We start from the raw sequence: 12,043 nt of genomic DNA, 5'->3' as shown, positions 1-12,043 counted from the left end.
ATGCCCATGGAAGTAAATTTTACCATAAACTTAGGAGGTCAGAATGAAGCAAAAACAAACAGTGGTAAATTCAGTGAAAGAAAAAGCAGTTTCCGAATCTCCAAGTGTATTAGTCCATTTTCACGCTGCTATAAAGAACTGCCCAAGACGGGGTAATTTATAAAGAAAAGAGGTTTAATTGACCCACAGTTCTGCATGGCTGGGAAGGCCTCAGGAATCTTAACAATCATGGCAGAAGGCAAAGGGGAAGCAAAGACCTTCTTCACATGGTGTCAGGAAAGAGAGAGCATGTGAATGCAGTAAAAACTACCATTTATAAAACCACCAGGTCTCGTGAGACTTCTCTCACTATCATGAGAACAGCATGGGGAAAACCACCCCCACAATCCAATCACCTCTCTCCCTGGACACATGGATATTACAAATCAAGATGAGATTTGGGTGGGGGCACAGAGCCAAACCATATCTCCAAGATACATCAGGGCATTTCTCAACACTAAAGTTTGAAGATGCGAGTAGCAGAGGGATGGCTCTAAGACAAGCCAGAACATCAGCAAATTTGATGACCAGTTCACCTGACTTTGAAAACTGCCTATTAAAACCTAAAATATTTATTTCTGAATCAGAGAACTTGGGGGTAAGTGTATTCAAATTGGAGGTAATTTGGATCTGAAAACTTTTAAAAACCAAATGGGTCTTGAAAAAATTCAAATTGTTGAATAACTTTTAAAATCTTTAGCTCAACAGTATTAATAGTGTAAATAAAAAAAGATAAATGTTTCCAAGAAAGCCTGCATAACTCACAGGATCCCCTAATCCAGTCAAGAAGGAAGGGAGAGGCCAGGCGTTATGGCTCACGTCTGTAATCCCAGCACTTTGGGAGGCCGAGGCAGGCAAATCATGAGGTCAGGAGTTCAAGACCATCCTGGCCAATGGGGTGAAACCCCATCTCTACTAAAAATACAAAAATTAGCTGGGTGGGTGGCAAGTCCCCGTAGTCCCAGCTACTTGGGAGGCTGAGGCAGTAGAATCGCTTGAACCTGGGAGGCAGAGGTTGCAGTGAAGCCAAGATCATGCCACTGCACTCCAGGCTGGGCGACAGAGTGAGACTCTGTCTCAGAGAAGGAAGGGAGAGAGAAACTGAAGTGAAATAGGCTAGTTCTGCCAAGAGAACTGCCTTTACTGCCCACGAAGCTCTTCATCCCTGGAAGGTGCTGTTAAAGACCCTTCCCTACATGTGCGTGCGTTGTTCTTCAGCTCTGTTTCTACCAGTACATGCAGTACAAGAGCAAATAAAACCATTCAGAGCCATCCCCAGGTGCATCATTACAGCAAAGGCTGAAAGTATCCTTGCCCCACACTTGGCAAAAATAAGGATGAGTAACATACGAGTGACCCCAAAGCCCCAGTGTACACTTTGGCTGTTCACACAATGTCCTGGATGCTTGTTAATGAAAACAGGCCTTTGTCATAGCAACCCCAGTAACCGAAGACATCTGATGCTCCTGCCGCACACCCTCTCCCCACCCCAACCCAGTGAGCTATTGCAGTGTTCTTACAGAGCTAGCGCAACAAAAATATTTTCAGTTAGCAAGCATTCTTTTCTGCTACTTGATCTCAATATTTCTCTTTTAGTTTCACCCCATTTGTCCCATAGTTATGTTGATAGGAAATAAATGATCACATTTGCCCTGCAATACAGCAAAATTTTAGTGCAGGGCTTAAATGCTTGGGCTGTGGACCTAGAGTGTCTGAGTTCAAATCCTGACTCTTCATCCCTTTCCTACCTGTGTGGCTTGGAGCACTGATACTTTTTCCTTATCTGTAAAATAGGAATAATAATGGAAGCTACCTCCTAGGGTTACCGAGAAGATTACATGAGATTAAGCCTGGGAAGTGCTTGGCACAGGGCTTCCACGTAGTAAGTGGGCAGTAGACATTCGTTGCCATCGATATTCTTGGGTTGCTACTTAAGAGGTTTCATTTTGACATTAAGTTTGGAAAATGTGAGATCCTGGCCACTTGAAACTGAAGGACTACCTGTGGTTAATAATTATCTCACAGAGATGGATACAGGTTCAGCTTTTTCAGGGGGTAGCATCTCCTTGTAAAGGAGGAATACATTTTGATTGTGCCACTTCTATATTTTGATTAGGAAATGGATCTAGAAATTGCACTTTATTATTATTATTATTATTATTATTATTATTATTTTGAGGCAGAGTTTCACTCTTGTTGCCCAGGCTGGAGTGCAGTGGCACAATCTCGGTTCACTGCACCCTCCGCCTCCCAAGTTCAAGCGATTCTCCTACCTCAGCCTCCCAAGTAGCTGGGATTACAGGTGCCTGCCACCACACCCAGTTAATTTTATTGTATTTTTAGTAGAGATGGGGTTTCACCATGTTGGCCAGGCTGGTCTCAAACTCCTGACCTCAGGTGATCCACCCGCCTCGGCCTCCCAAAGTGCTGGGATTACAGGTGTGAGCCACTGCGCCCAGCCTGCACATTTCTTGAATAGTGTTATGTGAGTCTTTCCTTTTTCAACATACTCAGAGGTAGAATTTTCTCATATTGAGATATGCCTGTGATTGGTATAACTCTAGCAGGAAAGCGCTTGTGCACGGCAGGTCCTGGGGAGGAGGCCCAGAAGTGATGCACCTGGTGCACCTCCACCTGGGTGTGGTGTGATTTCTCCCAGCCACTTCCACCCTAGCATCTCAAAGATACCAGGGGCATTGGCTGAAAAAGACTGATCACAGTCTTCCAGCAATGAGTCAAATCACTGCCTGACCTGAATTGGCCAGATATGTTTGCCTTCATTGCTTCAACTGTGAACAGCATAGTGAGACAACACCCTTGTCTGAAGGAGTTTCTTTGGCTCAGTGGTGCCCACATTCAAGGTATTAAACACCAATAGAAACTACTGAGAAGGCAAGGTCTTATTCCTATTGTAGAACTATAAGTTACTCTCTTTAGGAAATGGCTGCAACAGAGGGGAGGAAGTGTTCCAAAATGAGGCCTTGAGTTTTCTCTGCAGAGCTTTCCAGAATATGTTAAACAGAAGCAGGAGGCAGCTGATCCTAGTTCATAAGTTTCCTTCCTGCTCACATAACCACCTCTCACTCTCCACGTTCTTCAGGTATATACTATGAAGTCCAGTTTCTTTCATCCTTCCCAAAGGCCGACCCACCAGCCTTACCTCAGTGACTCTCTATATAGTTAGGCTCAAATCGTGTAATTAACATAAGTCAAGTGTCTGCAAACTAAGTATTTGTTTACAAGTAATAAATTCTAGCTCATTCCCTCAACTAGGATTTGTGCCTTCTGTGTACCTGTGGAAAGCATTGGGTATAGACAGTGGTTAAAAAATAAACTCTATGAGGGCAGAGAGCATGACTAAAGTTAATGAGGGAGACAGACACGATGCAAGGAAAACAATAAATATATAATTACACATTTTACTCATGAAGGAAAAAAGAATGACACTATGAGAGAAAACAACATGGGGAACCAACTCTGGATTGAATCAGGGAGGTCCTCTCTGAGGAGGTGATATTTAAGCCAAGACTGAAGGAAGAGAATCATCCAAGTAAAATTGGGAGCTAGGGCATTTCAGGCAGAGGGAGCAGTAAGCGAGGATGAGAACTCCGAGGCAGCTTTGTGCGCTGTGTTCTGTGAGTGATGACAGGTGAGAGACGAGGTAGGAGGGGAAGGCAGGGATAGAATCCTGAGGCCCTGGTTGTTGTGATTTTATTCTGAATGGATGCTTCTGTTAGGTCTGTTCTCATGCCGCTAGTAGACATATACCCAAGACTGGGTAATTTATAAAGGAAAGTGGCTTAATGGACTCCAGTTCCACATGGCTGGGGAGGCCTCACAATCATGGCAGAAGGCAAATAAGAAACAAAGTCATGTCTTACGTGGTGGCAGGCAAGAGAGCTTGTGCAGGGAAACTCCCATTTATAAAATCATCAGTCTCGTGAGACTTATTCACTATCACAAGAATAGTATGGGGGAAACTGCCCCATGATTCAATTATCTCCACCTGGACCTATCCTTGACACGTGGGGATTATTACAATTCAAGGTGAAACGTGGGTGGAGACACAGCCAAACTATATCAATGCTGGAGACAAAAGCAGAGTAGTGACCATCCAAATTATGTTCTTGAAAGGTCTCTCGGCTGAGTGCGGTGGCTCACGCCTGTAATCCCAGCACTTGGGGAGGTGGAGGCGGGCAGATCACGAGGTCAGGAGATCAAGACCATCCTGGCTAACACGGTGAAACCCTGTCTCTACTAAAAATACAAAAAATTAGCCGGGCATGGTGGCAGGTGCCTGTAGTTCTAGCTACTCGGGAGGCTGAGGCAGGAGAAAAGTGTGAACCTGGGAGGCGGAGCTTGCAGTGAGCCAAGATCGCACCACTGCACTCCAGCCTGGGCGACAGAGTGAGACTCCGTCTCAAAAAAAAAAAAAAGGTCTCTCTATCCATTGCCTGCCAGGTGGATTTGATTTGAAGAAGGGAGGGGAGAAGGCAGAAAACTCACAGGGAGGCCATTGCAATAATCTGGATGAATGGAGGTGGTGACTGGGGCTGGGACTACGGCAGTAGAGAGGGAGAGAAATGGGAAGCTTTGAGGTGTGCTCAAAGGTAAACCAGAAATTCTCGTAGGGGACAAGGAGCAGGAAGGGCCAGAGAAAGGCCTCCCCATGCCTTTTCAAAACTGGATCGTACAACTAGTTTGCATTTACCTTTCCTTCTAGGTTGTATTTTACCTTATTCAAAAAGGTGATAAGTGTTTCTTTTTTTCACTAGCTGAGTTTTTAGTAAAGCTTAAGGGCCCAGGACAGTCTAGATTCTGAAGCCAGGGTCCGAAGTCTTACAAGTCACTGTTTATTTTACAGCCTACCAGGACATCCTCGGAAAGTATTTATTCTAGGCCAGGCTCCAGTATTCCTGGCTCACCAGGTCATACTATCTATGTAAGTATCTACTTCTGGAAGTGACATTTCTGGGACAGGTAAATTAGTGGATTGTAATAGCAGAATGGGTAATCCAAAACAAAAACTGATTCAAAGTGATTTCTATTTTTGTTATGAGACCTGATTTTCATTTTTGTAGAACAGTCTCCTCAATCACTTTTACCTTTAGGTAATTACATTTATGTGACCATCAACAGAGTGATCAGACGACCTGTAAAATGTAGTAATATGTTGCGGGACTTAAAAAATTCTTGCACCTAAGACTCCGTCTCAAAAAAAAAAATTCTTGCACCTAAATTGCATATAGATATTTGGGGATTAAATATATATTTTATGAAGCTGATACTGAGTGTTCCTAAATTCTACCACAAAGATATTTAAATATTTAGTTTATTAATTATGCAGTTCTTGTTTTTAGCCATCTGAGAGGATTATTGGACCATCTGTTTGAGCTTTTTCCTTTACTATCATAAATTCAGGAAATTATCCTTAAGGTTTGCACATTTATCTATTTCATGAATTCTACACAGATTTTTTCCTAAGCGTTCAGTGACTTTTTTAAAAAAACATGATTAATATATGGTATAAAGGGCAACTTCTGAAGAGTATAACTGTGTTAGGCAAGATGTTTTGGTTTTTGTTTATTTTAAGGCCTTCACTTTTTAAACAACAGGAAATGCGCCAACTACAGTTTCCTAAAGCAGTCAGACTACAAGGTAATTGTTCTTTCTGGTTAACTTTGCCAGGCAAAAGTAGACAATGAGATCCTGGATTACAAGGATTTAGCAGCCATTCCGAAGGTCAAGGCAATTTATGACATTGAACGTCCAGATCTTATTACCTATGAGCCTTTCTACACTTCGGGCTATGATGACAAACAGGAGAGACAGAGCCTTGGAGAGGTAATACATTCCTACTGGTTGTGAGTTGTACAACAATTTACCTTCCCTTTTGTCACATTTGTAATAACTACCATTTGGAGTTCAGGTAAATCAGGTGGTCTTTTGTCTGCCTAGTATTTGCAGATTTCTAGACCAGGTGCTTTGAGGTATTCAGAAGCCCATCATGAGAAGTGGGAGAACAGAACAATGGCACATCAAACAACAGTGAAGACCAGCTAAACATTAGCATGCTGGGATGGAAGCTGTCGGGAGGTGGGGAGGGGGTGGGGATTGTGTGAGCTGGGCAGAGCAAATAAGGGAGTGAGGGTCTCCTGGGGGTCTTAGTCTAGTGATAAGCTTTAAGTATATTCATGGCATCATGAGGAGAGAGAACACACCCCCTAAATTTTGGTAATTACAGTTTTCAGCAACTTAAGAAAGTTAGCATGTGAAAGAAAAAATAAAGTAGAGCGCATGGGGCAACAGTCTAGCACAGGAGTGTGAGCCAGCATTCTGGAATCAAATTACCTGGTCTCAACCCAGGGATCACCACATGCCGATTGTTTGACTTTGACCATGTGACAGCCATTCTGCTGCTAGTTTCCTGGACCAGGTACAGTGCTCATACCTGTAATCCCAACATTTTGGGAGGCTGAGGGCCGGAGGATTGCTTCAGGCCAGGAGTTGAAGACCACCCTGGACAACATAGTTGAGACCTCATCTATATATATTAAAAAAATAAGAAAAATGGTCCTAGTTTCTTCATCTGTAAAACAGATAGGGTGATGATAGAATCTACCTCATAGGGTGTTAGTGAGGATTAAGCAAGCTAATCTATGTAAAGCAATTATCAGAGGCCAGACTTGGGGGAAATACTGAGCATGTGGCAATTTCTACCATTGTTGCTACCTGTCCTCTTGGGGCTCGTTAATACTCGGCCTGCAGACCCATCTGCTGCGGGACCAGAGCCTCTCAGCCCCTTGGGGTCCTCCCCTCCCCGGTCCCATCTCAGGGTTGAAGGTTCTCTGTGGTCGCTTCCTACCCAAGTCCGTTTCCCCTGGCCAATCGGCTCACTCTCATTTTTTTCTCTTTTATTTTTTGAATTAGAATCATCTGTAGACTGATTTTAGTCCACAAAGATGTTAACAAATAGCTGACAAATCAGCTATTCAACAAAGGTTAAAACAGAATATAAACAATCTAGCATCTCACAGTGCTTTGAGGTCTTGGAGAAGAAAAGGCATGAAAATGTGATTCTGTTTAATTGTTCTCAATTCCAGATGTATAATATTATTTGATAATTATATTTATGTTTATTTTTTATTTTATATATATTGTTCCTTTTATTTATTTACTTTCTAATCTGGGTTTTATTCCAGAGCATAGCTCTGCGTGGAAAAGGTCCCTGTGGCAGGAAGTGATATCCATTTTCATGTAGTGCCACCTAGTGGTCACTTAGCTGTAGCTGCACTTGCGGCCGCTCTCAAGCGCAGGTGCATTGGCCCGGGTTGTCAGTTGCCATTGAACCCCACAGAGTTTCGTAGGGCATAAGAGGCGAGGGGAAGTTCCTGAACAAAGTGCATAGAGATTGGCCTTGGACCCTGTGGATGAGAATTTACTAATGTTTAACCCATACAAGCAAGGGGATGTGAGTTTTTTTAATGGTGTTAAGGATTTGGGGTTCATGGTGTGCAGTGTACGTGTCTGTGTGCGTTTCCCAGCAGCTCCATCAAGGCAGTAAAACATTAAGCACTCAAGAGTTTGGGCTTTGAGGTGAAAATCTCTGCATTTAAAACCAGACTCTGCCAGACATGGTGACTCATGTCCGTAATACCAGCACTTTAGGAGGCCAAGGCCAAGGTGGGTGGATTGCTTGAGACCAAGAGTTTGAGACCAGCCTGGACAACATACCAAAATTCCATCTCTACAGAAAAAAAATACAAAAATTAGCCAGGAATGATGGCACACGCCTGTAGTCCCAGCAACTTGGGAGGCTGAGATGGGAGGATCACTTGAGCCCAGGAGGTTGAGGCTGCATTGAGCCATGATCATGCCATTGTACTCCGGCCTGGGTGATAGAGTGACACCCTGTCTCAAAAACAAAACAAAGCAAACAAAACAAAAACCACCACCACAAAAAAAGAAAAAAAGAAAAACCAGACCGATGCTGACTAACCACATAACTTTGGGGAAATTATATACCTCAATCTCCTTATCTGCAAACTCAAGATAGAGAACAAGAATACCTATGCTAGAAGTTTTCTGTAAAGAGTAAGTGAGCTATTTACATTAGAACAGTACTGGGCACATAATAAGTGCTTAAGAAAAATGCTGGCTACTCTCGTAATCAGCATACTTACTGTCATAACCTGGAATTATGTCCCATGGTTTTCTCTATGCATAGAGGGTGCCCCTGGGATCAGAAATCAGATATATTAGTGAACTCTTTCCCAATACTTGCATCTTGCAACTGAGAGAAATTTACAAGCTGTTCTATTATTTATTCCATTAAAGTTTAACACACTTCTTTTATAGACCTCATATACATATTGCCTTTTTTTTTTTTTTTTTTTTTTGAGGTGGAGTCTCACTCTGTCACCCAGCTGGAGTGTAGTGGTGCAATCTTGGCTCACTGCAACCTCTGCCTCCCAGGTTCAAGCAGTTCTGCTGCCTCAGCTTCCCAAGTAGCTGAGACTACGGGCATGTGCCACCATGCTGGGCTAATTTTTGTATTTTCAGTAGAGTTGGGGTTTCTCCATGTTGGCCAGGCTGGTCGTGAACTCCTGACCTCAAGTGATCCACCCGCCTTGGCCTCACAAGGTGCTGGGATTACAGGTGTGAGCCACCGCACCTGGCCTTTATACATATTGCCATTTAAGAAACACTGCAAGAGTCAGATTAGTTCTGTGCAGCCATTGGTGCCTCCAGGGCCTTGCTGTCAGTGCAGGTGCAGACCTGGGCCCTGACCTTGAGACCAGCCTTCACCCAGCTGAGACCCCCTAGAGACAGGCTGTAGCTGCAGAGGAGACCCTGGAGCTTGTGAAGGCTTAGAATACAGACAGTCCGCCCACTTACTATAGAATGTGGGGAAAAGGGCAAATTCTAAAACTGAGAAGTCCACCCCTGGCTGTGTTCTCCATAGCTCTGTTTGAATTTCATTTCTATTTGAAAGCTTTTTGCATTTTAATTGTAAACATTTTATTCATCTGGAAAATACTTGAGCAACTACTGTGTCCCAGGAGCTGCTGTCATCACTGGGAATATGTAGTTGTAAACAAACAGTCCTTGCCCTCATGGAGCTTGTGGCATCACGTGGGAGACAGACAGTAAAGAAACAGATATGTAATATAATTTTACAGAGTGGTAGGGCTCTGAGGAGAAATGAAGCAGAGTAAAGAGAAAGCGTACCAGGGGCTGGGTTGCTCCTCTGGACAGAATGGTCACGGAGATGCTGTGTGACAGTGGGTTTGAGCAGAGACATCAGCGCTGACAGGGAATGAGCCCTGCAGGTGTCTGGGTGAAAAGCACTGGCAGCAGAAGAGACAGCAAGTGCAAAGGCCCTGAGGTGACAGAAAGCTTGGCCTGTTGATGGCCCCAAGGAAGCCTGTGTGCCTAGGAGGATGGAAGCCAGAGGTGAATGATAGTGAGATTGGCGAGGTGAATGATAGTGAGATTGGCGATGCAGCCAAGGCAGGATGCCCCATGCCTGGTCACCAAAGTCCTATTTTAGTTATCAAACTATTTTATGGTGATTGCTGTGGTTGTAATTTAGTCAACAACCATGTGAACAAGATCCTATGTTTCAGTAGATGCTGTAACTCATCATAGTAAAATGAGCGTAGTTTGAATATATAAGGGAAATGGTTCCAACTTGTCTAGCTTAATCACCTAAGTATGTATCACAATCATATCTAGTCATGGTTCTTTTTTTTTTTTTTTTTTTTTTGAGACAGAGTCTCGCTCTGTCTCCCAGGCTGGAGTGCAGTGGCGTGATCTCGGCTCACTGCAAGCTTCGCCTTCCGGGTTCACGCCATTCTCCTGCCTCAGCCTCCCAAGTAGCTGGGACTACAGGCGCCCGCCACCGCGCCTGGCTAATTTTTTGTAGTTTTTAGTAGAGACGGGGTTTCACCATGTTAGCCAGGATGGTCTCGATCTCCTGACCTTGTGGTCCGCCAGCCTCAGCCTCCCAAAGTGCTGGGATTACAGACGTGAGCCACCGCACCCGGCCTATTCATGGTTCTTAGGCAGAGATGTGCACCAGAATCTCCCCGGAACTTTGTCAGAGTCTACCTGTCTGAGCCCCATGGCAGATGCATTTGTACCTGATCAGAAGACAGGGAGATGTGGAGGGATGCTGGCAGGTACATGTTGGCTAATATTTACAGCTGACTCTGATAAACAACTCTAATTAAAACTGGCAAAGAGGCCAGGCGCGGTGGCTCACGCCTGTAATCCCAAAACTTTGGGAGGCTAAGGGGGGCGGATCATGAGGTCAGAAGATAGAGACCATCCTGACTAACGCAGTGAAACCCCATCTCTACTAAAAATACAAAAAAAGTAGCTGGGGGTGGTGGCGGCGCCTGTAGTCCCAGCTACTTGGGAGGCTGAGGCAGGAGAATCGCTTGAACCTGGGAGGCGGAGATTGCAGTAAACCGAGATTGCGCCACTGCACTCCAGCCTGGGCGACAGAGCGAGACTCCATCTCAAACAAACAAACAAACAAACAAAACGGCAAAGAGTTAACAAACATTGTGACTTTAAATTCTCTTTTATTTTTCTAGTCTCCGAGGACTTTGTCTCCTACTCCATCAGCAGAAGTAAGTACCATTTCTTTTTATCATTTTAATGGGTGGAATTTGAGAATTGCTTGGCCCTTCCCTAGACTGGGATTTTTGAAAAAGAACATAACATACAAAAGAACAGAAAAACTGCATGTGGGGTTATGGTGGCTTTGGGGATTACCTCCGTGAAAGAGGAGACTCTAAGACACAGCAATATATTTCTCTTAAATTGGAGACCAGGGAGTAAAAATGGCCTCACTTTAATCTGTGTCTGTGCCTGTAAGTGGAAGCAAAGTGTCTGCAGGAACATAAGTCACTTGTCCCAATGTGGGGCTCTTTGTCCGCATCTATAATTAATTTTTCTGAACCCTAATATACTGAAATGGCCAACAGCCATCATGGCGTATTCTATAAGCAGAGCCATCTTGATGGGAGGTTACTCTGTTTAGTCTGAAATCAATCATCTGATCCTAAAACCAAGCAACTTTCTGGATATTATGAAACTGGACTACTTTTAGGGAATCTCTGTAATTCAAAGTAGTAAAAATACCATAATATTTTCATGGTTTATGACTGCTATGAATTATTAATTTCTACCTATATTCTAATAATTTGCATTGAATTTATGAAGAATTAATTTCTATTGACCAACTGTGCAAGCTTGAAGCACATAATCTGGGGACTTTTTGTTTTGTTGTTGTTTTATTTAATTTATTGTTATAGACAACTAGTATCAAGCCAAAGTTTCCCCTTGCCATTTGCTCTCAAATTCCACAAAGCTATGGTTACTGAGGTGTTCATTTAGTCGTTATTAATGCATTCTTTCAAACTTTTTACTTTTATTGTGCTAGTAGAAATTTCATAGGACAACAGATTCCTAAAATGTAAAATATTCTTTGTACTCTTTCAACTCTTTAGACAGTTTTATATTGTGTGTGTGCATGTGGTTTTTTGTACTTATTACCTAATATATCCTTTTCTAGATTTGGAGATAGGTGACATTTTAGTGGTGCTATGATATTCCATTGAATTCGCATGTCATAATTTCCTTTTTTTTTGAGACAGAGTCTCACTCTGTTGCCCAGGCTGGGGTGTAGTGGCACAATCTTGGCTCACTGCAACCTCTGCCTCCTGGGTTCTAGTGATTCTCCTGTCTCAGCCTCCCAAGTAGCTGGGATTACAGGTGCACACCACCATGCTCAGCTAATTTATGTATGTTTAGTAGAGACAGGGTTTCACCATGTTGGGCAGGCTGGTCGCAAACTCCTGACCTCAGGTGATCCACCCACCTTGGCCTCCCAGAGTGCTGAAATTACAGGCATGAGCCACTGTGCCTGGCCCGTATGTCATAATTTCTTAATTGTGCCCCAATTTGTTGAACATGTAACGCAAATTTTTGC

General features: G+C 43.5%; 1 protein-coding gene across 56 annotated transcripts in view; it reads left to right on the top strand.

Annotated features, from left to right (window-relative positions):
• ABLIM1 (actin binding LIM protein 1) overlaps positions 1-12,043 on the top strand; it is a 370,264-nt gene that overhangs the window by 322,514 nt on the left and 35,707 nt on the right. For 53 of the 56 annotated variants that reach the window (XM_047425242.1, XM_047425238.1, XM_047425237.1 and 50 more), the window contains 3 exon segments: positions 4,904-4,981; positions 5,728-5,883; positions 10,644-10,679. In XM_047425242.1, coding sequence (XP_047281198.1) covers positions 4,904-4,981; positions 5,728-5,883; positions 10,644-10,679 — 270 coding nt within the window. 56 annotated transcript variants of the gene reach the window in all.

Source organism: Homo sapiens, chromosome 10 (genome assembly GCF_000001405.40).
Source record: "Homo sapiens chromosome 10, GRCh38.p14 Primary Assembly".
NCBI lineage: Eukaryota > Metazoa > Chordata > Mammalia > Primates > Hominidae > Homo > Homo sapiens.
This window is presented reverse-complemented; position numbering and strand designations above follow the sequence as displayed.